At 40.0% G+C, this 13,873-nt stretch overlaps 1 long non-coding RNA gene across 1 annotated transcript; it reads right to left on the bottom strand.

Moving 5' to 3' along the window:
• Window positions 1-671: 671 nt before the first annotated feature.
• Window positions 672-9,902, bottom strand: LOC105375188 (uncharacterized). The gene is made up of 3 exons (XR_001745008.2): window positions 9,800-9,902; window positions 2,027-2,059; window positions 672-1,023 (listed from the first exon to the last, which is right to left on the bottom strand). It is a non-coding gene; the product is annotated as an uncharacterized LOC105375188 (long non-coding RNA).
• Between the last annotated feature and the right edge of the window lie 3,971 nt (window positions 9,903-13,873).

Raw genomic sequence — 13,873 nt, 5'->3', positions numbered from 1 at the left:
TCCAAATGACTTTGCATCTCAGAGTAAAACCACAGTTCTTACAATGGCTGACAAGGTCCAAAACAAAATGACTTTTGTTACCTCTCTGACCTCATCTCCTGCTCTTAGCCACCTCCCTCACTCCATTCCAAAGTTGCTACTCTTCAAATATTTCAGGCATTCCCCTGCCTCAAGACCATTGTATTTAATGTTCCCCTTGCCTGTTCTCTTCCTCCAGATTACCTGCATAGTGTATTCCCCTTTTCAAGTCTTCACTCAACTCCTCCTCAGTGAACCATCTTTGAAATTTCTATTTATTCTCCAGCCCTCCCTGTACCATTTCCCACCCCACTTTTCCCCATGCCATGTTCACCATCTTATATACCGTATATTTTACTTATTTGTTTATTGTATATCTGTCTGCTCTAGAATATCAACTCCACACAGGCAGGAGTTCTTATGTGGTTTGTTCACCAACATATCATAGTGTCTATCCTGACACAGTCAACACTCAGTATGTTCTTATTAAATGAGCAAGCAATTGAGGTTCTCAGCCACCAGCTCAAACTGGAAACCTTAAATTTACACTCTCATGCTTTCTCCTCAGTCTAGGGAGACAGTGAAGGTGGACTGTAGAATGGATTGAAGTAGTTGCTGGACAAGCATGTTACAAAGGGGAAATATATGCGAGTTGTGGTTATTAGTGATAAAGTCATTCATGGGATCACCATGGGAACCAGTCTTGGTAAGGAAAAAAAATGAAGGCACAAAAGGGGATGACAGACCAGGTGAAAATACTATATTTTAGGGTATGAAGAGTTCTGTGAGGTTGAAGATTAAAGACTTAGAAAGATACAAAGTTGTGGTCACAGAGTGAGATTCAGAGTTCAAATATCAGAGGTATGTCCATTATTGATGTTGACAAGGTCCAATGTATCCAGATATGAGTGACTGAGGGGTGTAGGATGAGGCATCTCTGCAGACAATGAAGTACCTCAGGTTCCTGGAAGAAGTCTTCATCTCTTTACTTGTCTTCTTTTCCCTCTGGAAAATCAGTCATTCCTGAGCCATAACTGCTGTTTGTGGCCTGAAATTCCCAAATCTGCACCACAGTAAACTCCAATTCCATATTTCCAATTGCTCCCTTATAGATGAGAATTTTCCTTACTAGTCCCTAAGCTCCCTGAGGAAATAAATGGTAACTCATTCACTAACATTTATACTCCAGCACCTAATCTACTGCCTGCTTAGTGATAGGTAGTCAGTAATTTTTTTTTAATGAATGCCTCATATGTACATCCATTTCATGTACATGTCAAATAGTTTATAATTTTTCCAAATATGTTTATAAGCATACATAAACAAGCATGTCTGTGTATGTGAGCCAAAATGCAAACAATCATTATTGAGGTGTGTTAAATCATGTCAATTTTTAATTTTTTCTTTATAATTTTTGGTATTTCTTGAATCTTTATGATTAGTATATTTTGCTTTTAAAATCTGGTCAGGAGCTATTTTCATTTTTTTTAAGTAAAGAAATGCTAAGTTTATTATCGTCAAACCAAAGTCACCTCCATTCTTCCTGTACCTGGACTGCAAACTTCGGCATTGTCTTCAAAGCCTGCTTCTCCTACATAATCATATTCTATCATTTATGAAGTTCTACATGTTCCTCCTTAGTCTTTATCTCTTGCTTCCCATTTCCTCTGCCTCCATTATTTGCCTAGGCTGTCAATACCTCACACTTGGTATCTCAGCCAGGGCAGGCTATGTTCTCCTGCGCTAAGCAATTTAAACTCCCAGTGGCATAGAACAGCAAAGGTTCATTTCTCCCTCATGATACATGCTCATTATGGGTTGGTTGGGAGTTCTGCTCCTTGTCTACATACTCTGGGACCTAAAGCTGATCAGGCAGACAATATCTGGAGCCTGACAGTCACTGGGGCAGAAAGCAAGAGAGCTCAGGAGGCTCTCATGCTGGCAGGCAGTCACTTTCACCTAGGGGTGACACACATCTGCTCACAACTCATTGGCCAGAAGTACTCACATGGGAGCCAAGAAGTGGAATCATGCCATGTGCCTGACAGGAAGGAGAAATGAAAATATTTAGCAAACAGAATGAATATATACACTTGCAGAGAGCCTACACTTGAAAAAGCCTCCTGCCTCAAAACTATCCTGTCTACCTGGCCTCCTGGGTCACTGGTTTAGAGTCACAAAGATCAGGCTCCAGATTTAACCCCTCACTTATTAGTTGAGTGACCACAGTGATTTAATTTCCTCAGAGCATTGTTTAGTAATAACTTCTCCCTACCTAGAGTTCTGAGAATACATGAAATATTGAATGTGAACTCTTTTAGAAATTTATAGTAATAAGTTGAAATAACCTAATGCAACATTAATTCAATGGCTGGCTCAGGAAGCTGATGGCATTTTTGATACCACTTATTATGATGCCTGGGGTGTTGGAGGTGGGAGAAGATTATCTCCAATGGGCTCCTCAGTGCTGTAAAGCACTTCCTTTGCTGTAATCTGAGGAGGTGCTTTTGGATGGCCTGGGTCATGCCTTACTTAGAATGCTACCCCCTTCAGTCAGCTATGTGTACCCTGCCTCTTACCGTGAAACCCTCAGGTCACATGGCCTGAACTCCTTGCAAAAACCGTCTTTTCCCCTTTGTACTGTTCTCTTCTTCTCTTCTCTCTCTTAGGACATTTCGCTTGCTACCTAAAGAAGTACCCTCTTCCCAAAGGCATCTGGCCTCCCTCTCCCTGTTATGGAACATCTCTGTGTCATCTCCCACCACAATCCATGGCAATGCTGTCTGATGTCAACCCAATGCTGACACTCCCTTGCCTCTGAACTTTGCTTATGCTAGTCTCCACTCCATAAATACCATCCCGCATCTTCTCTTGCTTTTCAAGCTCCACTTCCTCTACATTTTTCCCTGCTACCACAGTAAACACTACGGTTGAAAGTTGATCTTTCTGCACTTAATGCTTACATTTTGGAATTTATTGCTTCCTTCCAAATCATTTCACATGTGTCTATTTTGCATCTCCAGAAATCGTGCTAGAGCTTTCTAACACATTCCATTCCTGTGGGCTTCTTCAGTTCCCTCTCCTAATCCTCCCAACTCCCACCTAGGTGCAGAGGCTGGACTGGGGAGACTAAAGCACAGGCTCAAAACAGAAACAATTTCCTTCAGTCTCTGAGTACAAAAGCAAAACTATTCAGGGACCAGCATGCTCATCCCGGGGGGGAAAGCATTTTAAACATCACATGTCATTTGAAACTTAACCCAACAACTGTACCAAATGAGTCATCTTTGAAATACAAAGGAAAGTTTAGTTGCTTCATAGGGCACCAAGGCCTTTATGCTACCACCAGTGATTCTCACAGGTCAGGATTAAGAGCAGATATTCCTCAGTTTTCAAGGCTAGGTTTAGCACCTGGCTATAGAGTTCAGGCACAGAGTGAGGAAACAGATTACTGAAGAATACCCCCCTGAAAGAAGCCATTTGTCCATGACACAAACCAAAAGAGACACACTCGTCTTTGCTGAAACTCACTCTAGAGGAACACAACATGCATAACTGGGGGCACTGCAGAGACAGACAGATCATGCCTGGGGCTCCACCCCCTAATGCAATCTGCCCAGCTGGAGGAGACACAGAGAATTGTTAAGGCCCTAAATCTGACGATACACCAGCAACAAGATGAACACCCAGAACACAGTGACTGCTGGAGGGTTTGAAGGCACCCAGGCTGAACAGATGGAACACGGAGTCATGGAAGGGCAGAGACACACAAACATCACGGCTTCCTGAAAAAGAAGCCTTTTATGTCAGCCTCAGAGGCACTGCATTCTTGAAAAGTTGTCCGTGTCACTTTGAAGTTTGTCCCATTTAAGAGAAGCAAAGAAATATATGATGGGTGATTGCCCATTATTTTCAGGGGAATTGCATCTCAAACTATGGACCTTTTATCTCCCCTTCGTAGCTAATTTCCACTTACCATCTGCATGGATTTCTTGTGCCAAACAAAAAGAGAAGTGTGGGAATGTGTGAGTGCTTACTAAGTTGATGGGCTCTTCAGGGAACTAGCCACACAAACACACTCTTTCTAACAGCTGCCATCTCTGTTCAAGGGGAAAATCTAAAACTGATACTACCTTGAAACTGATTCATTGTAAACATGTTCCCTTCATGTTTTCTTTATGTTTGGGGGCATATTAGCAGTTTAATTTTTATTGAATTATAATTAGTGAGAGGTGATTTATTTTAGAAACTTTCCAAATTAGGGAAATTAAAGATTTTTTTCCCCTGTATTTTTTGTGTGTGTAATTTTCTTTGAGATTTCATTTATCTTTTAATGCTTCAGCAAATGAACAAACAACTTTTAAAAATTCCTCTTGTGGAGAAGCAACTGTTGACAAATTTCTACTAATGTGACAGAAATCACTCTGCAAAAAGTACCATAAATTACGGATGGCGGCTTTTGGATGCTATGTCTCACTAAAGATGAATAATCAGTTAGAGAATGGAGATACGGAAAATGAAAAAGAAATAAATCCCCACTTTCAGTTTTTAATTTCCAGTTAACTGACACAAGAGTTCTTTTAAAACAAAGGTTAATAAAAAGAAGCATAGGCCAGGCGCGGTGGCTCACACCTGTAATCCCAGCACTTTGGGAAGCTGAGGTGGGCGGATCATGAGGTCAAGAGATCAAGACCATCCTGGCCAACATGGCGAAACCCCGTCTCCACTAAAAATACAAAAATTAGTTGGGTGTGGTGGCGCGCGCCTGTAGTCCTAGCTACTCGGGAGGCTGAAGCAGGAGAACCGCTTGAACCCGGGATGCAGAAGTTGCAGTGAGCAGACATCACACCACTGCACTCCAATCTGGAGACAGAGTGAGACTCCATCTCAAAAAGAAAAAAAAAAAAAAAAAGGCTGGGCGCTGTGGCTCACACCTGTAATCCCAGTACTTTAGGAGGCTGAGGAGGGCGGATCACCTGAGGTCGAGAGTTCAAGACCAGCCTGGCCAACATGGTGAAACCCTGTCTCTATTAAAAATGCAAAACTTAGTTGGGCGTGGTGGCTGGTGGTGGGTGCCTGTAATCCCAGCTACTTGGGAGGTTGAGGCAGGAGAATCACTTGAACCCAGGAGGTGGAGGTTGTGGTGAGCCGAGATTGCGCCACTACACTCCAGCCTGGGCAACAAGAGTGAAACTCCATCTCAAAAAAAAAAAAGCATACATAATTTTTATTCTGTGAATCTGTGAAGCCATCTTTCAAGTTATGGTCCCCAATTCTTTCTGTTTCCATTTGTAAGTCATGAAGACCAGATACATTTGGCAGTAATAATCTTTTATTTATATAAATTGTGCAGAAAAGCTTATAGGTGGTAATTGATCCTTTATCCTATGAGCCACAAAAATTGAGCCTCAAAGTTGAGCCACCATTCTGTCTAAAAGGCAAAAACTTATTTTAGAAATGGCCCATATGGCTCCACTTTGAGCTTCTAGTACTGACAGGCAGCTATGGGGAGCCAGATGGTGACATAGGTAGCATTCCAACATCATACATCTTCTTCATTAAATTAAATTTTCAAATAAGAAACTTAAAAACTAAATATAATGGGATACAATTATCTTAGGAATCACACATGCAATGTGCCTTGCTGTTTATTTTATTTTATTTTATTTTGACCTATTTTGGTACATAATTATTAACTAGAATTGTGGAATACATTAGATGCAATCATATACTTGATAATATTGGTGAAATGTTAATTACCTATTGTATGATTATTAAATGAATTTCTCTGTGTTAGGCAAATATAAATGGAGAAAAGACAAATATAATCAAAATATTCCAACCTAGAGAAAGAGGAGGGTTAGCCAATCAGGACTAAGTTTTGCTGCATATATTAGAAACCTTAAATAATGGTGCATAAAGAAGATATTTTTCACTGAAGAAAAAGAAATTCAGAGGTTGATGATCCAGGACTGGAAAGGAAGCCCCAGGGTCTTTGGGGACCAGCCTTCTTCAACTCTCCGTGCCATCATCCTTAGTGCATGGTTTGCATCCTCAAGGATGGCATCATGGCCCAAGATGGCTGCACGTACAATGCTGTGCTCTAAGCCTGAAGAATAGTGGTAGGCACGGCTGAAATGGCACCAGTGTCGTTAGCAAGGCTTCCTCAGAAGTTCCAACCAATGCCTTCTGTTTATATTTCATTGGCCACTCCTTTCCCAGCAAAGAATACTGGGAAATATAGTTGTTTCAGCTAAGGATTTGGCTGCCTTCCAAAAACAAATGCCCTACAGGAATTCTGGTAAAGAATGGAAGGAGAATGGATATTGGGGAGAGAACAAAAAGTCCCTGCCACAGGTTTAAAGAATCCCATTCAGGAAAATGAATATGGAGACAGGGGCCAGAATAGCCAGATATTCTTGTGGAGCAAACATCAAAACAAGGCAAGGGAAGTCTTTGGGCCAATATGAGGAAGGACAAAAGAATTTCAGAGTTCGAGGGTCAGAGGATTTCCAATAGGATAGGAAGGAGTCACTGATCAATTGCTAATGGTCACCTTGCCTTTGTGACAGCTAAGAAAAGAACTATTTGCTGATTCTTAACCAACATCCACAACATCAAGAAACAGAGTCATAAAACAATGAAGTCTCCATGCCAAGTAAGGCATTCCTCAAGCATCTGGGAAATGGCAAGCAGGCCTGACCCTGCAGTTCCATGCCTTCTCTAAGAAGGCCACTTTTAGAGACTATGTAAAGGCCAGGCATCTAGAATGGGTCTGAAACAGGCACCTGTCATTGCACCCATTGTTTTCTATACTGGGTGACCCTCAGGCCTGCAGAGCATTCACTGAGAAGTAAAAGCCCATGAGTCATGGGGTAAAGACGGTCTTCCCTATCTCCTGGCCGCCATCACACTCCAACAGATGGACTTCTGCCTTAAGAGCTTGGATGTCAAAAATGCATACCTGAGGAGCCTGTCTGTAGTGGGAGGTGGGGCCACGTAATAGGGGGTTGGAATAAGCTCTTCCTGCTGCTCAAGCAGCTATGCCCTTTCTTGGAGTTCTCTAATGTTCTTAGAGTCTGAGTTGAAATCAAAGTCAGATGCCCCAGGTAGACCAGAGTTGCAGGGTCTCTGAGCCCAAACAAAATGCAATGATGGAGGAGAGGCCTGGAGTACCCAGAACATCTGGCATTCAAGATCAAGCAGTTTAGAATAAGATGAAAACTACATCTTGAGGGGTTTAATCACCACATGGGGCTCATTTGTACATTTTTCGAAAGTGGCTTACACCTTCTCAAACTTTGCTCAGATCTCCTTTCCTGCAAGTCAGGGCTTCCCTCCTCACTCGCCTCTCCCAGGGATTATTCCAAGCATCAAGAATAGTATTTGTTTCCTAAGGCTGCCATAACAAAATACCATAAACTAGGTGGCTGAAAACAATAGAAATATATTCTGTCATAGTTCTGGAGGTCAGAAGTCCAAAATCAAGGTGCTGGCAGGTGTGGTTCCTCCTGGATGCTCTGAAGGAGAATTCTTTCACACTTCTCTCCTAGCTTTTGGTGGCTACTAGCAAATCTTAGTATTCCTTGGCTTGTAAACATATCACTTCTATCTCTGCCTCTACTTTCATCCAGACTTTCCCTTTCTATGTCTCTAAATAACCCTCTGTCATTGAATTTAGAGCTCACCCTAAATCCAGGTTGATTTAATCCCAAGAGCCTTAACTTAATACTATCTTCAAAGACACTGCTTTCAAATAAGATCACAGTCCCAGGTACTGGAGGTTAGAACTTGGACTATTCAACCCACTATGAGAAATAAAAATAAAATAGAAACCAGAATAAGCCAAATTCTCTCATCTCTCAAAATTTTAAAGTGTGAGATGCCCAAAATTGTGATTTCAACAGTGTTAATGCTATGAGTCTCTGATACAATCTTTCCTTTCTGCTAAAATACATATGGAGACATCAGAAAAACATAAAAATTAAAAACTAAATTACATAACCACAGAGGCAAAAAACAAGTTAGCAACTTTTTGCCAGAATCTGGGAGCATGCCCACCAGCTTCAAGGCCTATGGAGCTTGCTTGAGAAAATTGGCTGGTGGTTTACAAACACTCTGCCCTTTGAAACCAACAGCCATGCTAGTCTGAAAGTGGCAATATGTCAGGAGGTCCTAAAACCTCCCCTAGATTTGACAATTCACTAGGAAGACTCAAAAGACTCAGCATATAGTTGTAGTCAGAGGTATGATCTATAACAACAAAACGGTACCAAGCACATTCAGCAAAGTCAAAAGGCCCCTGGGGTGAAGCAAGAGGGAAAGCAGGCACAGGCTTCCAAGATTTCTCACCCAGTGGAAATACACTGGGCATGTTTAATTTCCGCAGCAACAAGTCATCACAACATGTATGAAATGCAGCCAACCAGGGAAGCTTGTTAGACTCAATGACCAAGGCTTTTATTGGGGGATGTCCCCAGATGCAACCCCCTGCCTGGCACATACCCAAACTGTAAACTCTCAGAAGGAAAGGAGGTGTCCGGCGTAAACCACGCTGTGTGTAAAAACAGTTAAATGGGCACAGTGAGCCACTCTTATCAGTTCATAGTGGGAATCTAAGCTCCCAGATGACAGCCAAGGGCCACCCTTTGAAGCAGGCCTTTTCAAGGACAGCAGTTTAGTTCTACTCTGCTAACTCTTTTCTGCATAGGGAGGCTGAGAAAAGACTGTGCCTTCCTTCCCCCTCTGTCTTCCCTGACCCAGAGAAGCAGAGTGTCAGAAAACAACAACCACCCCCAGGCTCTGCAGGATGCTTTGAGACAGGTAGGGTTTGGATCTTGCCTTTATACCCTCAATGGCACCTTTTAACCTATATCCATTTAGAAACCAAGACTGCATTACTCAGAAGTAAATAGAAGAGAAAGAGGAAGGGGAGCATAGAAACACCTTGCATTCCAAGAGGTAGGGTCCCTACACATGACAGGGTCTAGGTAGAAACAGGGATGGTAGGGTGCTGGGAGCAGCATAGACTCTTTTCCCCTGTATCGCATGAAAAGATCATGACCAGGTTGGTGGTGGGGAGCAAGTGGTAAGAGAGAAGAACCAATGTCATCCCTGCAGAATCAGTGTTTTTCCTTTTTTTTTTTTTTTTTCCGACAGAGTCTGTCTCTGTTGCCCAGGCTGGAGTGCAGTGGTGCAATCTAGGCTCACTTGTAACATCCGCCTCCTGTACTCAAGCCATCCTACTACCTGAACCTCCCAAGTAGCTGGGACTACAGGCACACGCCAAAATGCCCAGCTAATTTTTGCATTTTTTGTAGAAACAGAATTTTGCTATATTGCCCAGGCTGGTCTTGAACTCCTGAACTCAACTGATCCACCTGCCTTGGCCTCCCAAAGTGCTGGGATTACAGGCATAAGCCACCCTGCTGGGCCAGAATCAGTGTTTTTTAAACATGCTATGTGCCCTGAGATTCCCCAAAAATATCTCCCACTACAGGGAGAAAGGACAGGTCAAAGAATGGGCTCAGCACATCTCCGAAATTCAGTCAGGGCGAGTCCGCTTTTTCCTGTTTGCAATAACAAGCTTATGCATAATTTTTCATATATGAAATAGGCTTCTTGAAAAAAAATAAGCAATTTAAAATCATTGCACTAGATGAGTGTCTGCCAGACAGTGGGAAGTGTTTTAGTTACTGAGACATCAACTAGGCTGCAGGTATAGAACTGGGAGGGAGATTGTACTAGCACCAAGCAGACAATGAAAGCAGACCGCTCTTACCTTTTCTTTGGAAAACACCAAATCTGATAACCTGGTTACCCACAGAGGAAGTAAACCATCTCTTCTGCAAATACAAATGCTAGAAAATGACAGAAAAATAACTGGTGGTTTTTAAGCTCTTAGACATGAGCTCCATCAAGTAGATGATGAAAGCTATAAACTACAACAAAAATGAACACACAATTGTGCAACACTCTGGCATAACAATTACAAAAGGTTCACAGATCCTCCTGAAGCTCATATCCATGTTTAGAACCTCGTAGAGCTTCAGAGCCCATTTTAAATGGAAAGACAGACCTAGTCCAGTTGTTATTCAGTTTTGAAACCAAAAGAAAGACATTCTTATAAATGCAATTATATGAAAATGTTTATTCATTCAACAAATATTAAATATCAATAATGCTTTAGGGGCAGGGAAACTGTGAATAAGCAGACAAGCCAGTTTCTTTTGTAGAGCTTATGTCTTTTAAGAGGGAAAACAGATGTAAATAGGAAAATAAATAAATGCCTGAGATAATTTCAAGTAACTGCTATGAAAAAGGGCCTACTTAACAAGATGATCAAGTCTGAAATAAGATCCAAATGACTAGAATGAGCAAATCAAGTGAAAACCTACATCCAGAGCATTCCAGTAGTGGAAACAGCAAGTACCAATGCCCTGGGGTGGAAATGAGCCTGTTGTGTTAAAAAATAGCAAAGAAGTCCAGAGAGTGAGGGTCAGCGAGGAGGAGATAAGGTTGCAGAAGAAGCAGAGCCAGATTCTGAAGGGCTCCAGGGGTCATGGTAGCCAATTAAGCTTACATCCTAAGAACAGTGGAAAGCTGTTGAAGAGTTTCAATAAAGAGCAACATTCTCTGATTTGCAATTTTTTCACAATTTTTTTTCTTGTGGTAAATATACATATAAAATATACTGACTTGACTATTTTTACATCTCTAATTCAGTAGTGTTACATACATTCATAATGTTGCACAACCATCACCACTGTCCATCTCTAGAACTCTTTTCATTTGCAGAACTGAAACTCTGTACCCATTAAACAATAACTCCTTATTCCTCCCTCCTCCCAGTCCCTGGCAACCACCATTCTACTTTCTGTCTCTACAATTTTTTTTGAAAGGGTCTTGCTCTATCACCCAGGCTGGAATACAATGGCGCATTAGCCTTGAACTCCTAGGTTCAAGCAATCCTCTCACCTCAGCCTTGCAAGTAGCTGGGACTACAGGCACACACTACCACACCAAGCTAATTTTTTTAAGAGATGGGTCATGCTATGTTGCCCAGGCTGGTCTCAAACTCCCAGCCTTCAAGTGATCCTCCTGCCTCAGCTCCCTGTCTCTGCAATTTTGATTGCTCTAAATATTTTATGTAAGTGGAATCATGCAGTATTTGTCTTACTGTGACTGGCTTAGTTCACTCAGCATAATGTCTTCCAGGTTCATTTATGCTGTACTACGTCAGATTTGCCTTCCTTTCCTTTTTAAGGCAGAATAATATTCCACTGTGTGTATATTTACTGCTGTCATTTTGCTATTTGTTTTCTACATACCTTATAGCTTCTTTTTGTCCTTCATTTCCTGCATTACTTTCTTCGTATGTATTTGTTTTTTTTATAGTGAAGCATTTACATTTCTTTCTCATTTCCTTTTGTGTATATTCTATAGCTACTTTCTCTGTGGTTACCATGGAGATTACACTTAACATTCTAAAGTTATAATACTCTAATTTGAATTTATACAGCTTAACTTCAATAACATACAAAAACTCTGCTCCTTTACAGCTCAGTCCCCACCTCTTTCAGTTGTTGATGTCACAGAATTTCATCTTTACACATAATCCATACAAAAACATAAACTAACAATTCTTTTTAATGCATTAGTCTTTTTATTGTAGTAAGAACACTTAACTTTAGATCTGCCCTGTTAATAAATGTTTAAGTGCACAATATAACATTGTTAACTGTAAGCACACTGTTGTATGGCAGATCTGTAGAACTTACTTGTCTTCTGTTACTGAAACTGCATACTCCTTGGACAGCAATCCCCCATTCCTCCCTTCTCCTAGCTCCTGGCAACCTACTACTCCATTCTCTATTTGTATGGTTTTGCATATTTTAGATATTTCATATAAGTTGAATAATGCAGTATTTGTCCTTATGTTCCTGGCTTATGTCACTTAGAATAAGGTCTTCCAGGCTCATCCACTTGTCACATATTACAGGATGTTCATTTTAAAGACCGAATAGTATTTCATGTATGTATATACCACATTTTATTTATCTGTTCATCTCTCAATGGACATTTAGGTTACTTCCATATTTTGGTTATTATGAATAATGCTTCAATGAACATGAGAGTGCAGTTGTCTCTTTGAGAGACTGATTTTAGTTACTTGGGATAAGAATTAATTAGCTTCTCTTTTGGAAACCACCAATCTGATAATGGCTAATTCAAATTCTCATCCAAGATATGGAATTTTTTGGTCATATGGTAGTCCTATTTTAATTTTTTTGTGGAACTTCCATACTACTTTCTATAGCGGCTGCACCAATTTACATTCCCACCAAAAACGTACAAGAGTTCCCTTGTCTCCACATTGTTGCCAACACTTGTTATTTTTTGTGTGTTTTTTATGTAACAGCTATCCTAACAGGTATAAAGTGATATTTGATTGTGGTTTTGATTTGTAGTCCCAGATAATTAGTAATAGTGAGCATCCTTTCACATACCTGTTAGCCATTTGTATGTCTTCTGTGGAAATATGTCTATTTAATTCTTTTGTCCAATTTTTAATCTAGTTATTTGGTTTTGGGTTTTGGTTTGTTTGGGGTTTTTTGCCATTAAGTTATAGGAGTTCCTTATGGATTTTGAATATTAATCCTTATCAGATATGTGGTTTGCAAATATTTTCTCCCATCCATAGATTGCCTTTCCAGTCTGTTGTTTCCTTTGCTGTGTAGAAGCTTTTAGGTTTGATATAGTCCCACTTGCCTATTTTTGCTTTCGTTGTTTGTGTTTTTGGAGTCATAGCTAAGAAATCATTGCCAAGACCAACATCAGAAAACTTTTTCCCTATGTTTTCTTCTAGGAGTTTTATAGTTTCAGGTCTTACATTTAAATATTTAATTCATTTTGAGTTTATTTTTGGGTACAGTATAAGATAAGGGTCCAAATTTATTATTTTACATGTGGATATCCATTTTCCCAACACCATTTGTTGAAGAAACTATCCTTTTCCCCTTGCACATTCTTGGCACCCTTATCAAAGATAAGTTGATGCCATACATGTGGGTTTATTTCTGGGCTCTCTATTCTGCTCCATTGAACTTACGTCTGCTTTTATACTAGTATTACACTGTTTTAATTACTGTAGTTTTGTAATATATTTTAGAATCAGGAAGGATGTTGTCTCTAGCTTTGTTCTTCTTTCTCAAGATTGCTTTGGCTATTTGAGGTCTATATATGATTTGAGGTCTATATATGATATATGATTTTGTGGTTCTATATATGATTTTTTTGGATTGTTTTTTATTTTTAAAAAATTGTCATTGGGATTTTGATAGGGATTACACTGAATCTGTAGATGGCTTTGGGTAATATGGCCATTTTAATAATGTTAATTCTAATCCATGAACATAGGACATCTTTTCATTTATTTGTGACTTCTTTAATATTTTCATCAATATTTTATAGTTTTCAATGTACAATCTTTTACCTCCTTGGCTAAGTTTATTCTTAAGTATTTTATTCTTATTGTTAATGAGGTTGTTTTCTAAATTTTTTAAGACAATCACTGTTAATTTATAGAAATGTAACTGATTTCATATGTTGATCTTGCATCCTGTAATTCTCCTGATTTCACTTATTAGTTCTAACAATTTTTGGTGAAGCCTTTACCATTTACTACATATAAGATTATGTCATCTGAAAAGATAATTTTACTTCTCTCTTTCTGACTTGGATGTCTTTTATTTCTTTTTCTTGACTAATTGCCCTGACTAGAACTTCTAGTACTATGTTGAATAGAAGTGGCAAGAGTAGGCATCCTTGTCTTGTTCCTAACTTTAGAGGAAAA

The sequence above is a fragment of the Homo sapiens genome, chromosome 7, assembly GCF_000001405.40.
Source record: "Homo sapiens chromosome 7, GRCh38.p14 Primary Assembly".
In the NCBI taxonomy this organism is placed as follows: Eukaryota; Metazoa; Chordata; class Mammalia; order Primates; family Hominidae; genus Homo; species Homo sapiens.
Note: the sequence above shows the minus strand (reverse complement) of the source record. Positions and strands in the feature narration are given on the sequence as shown.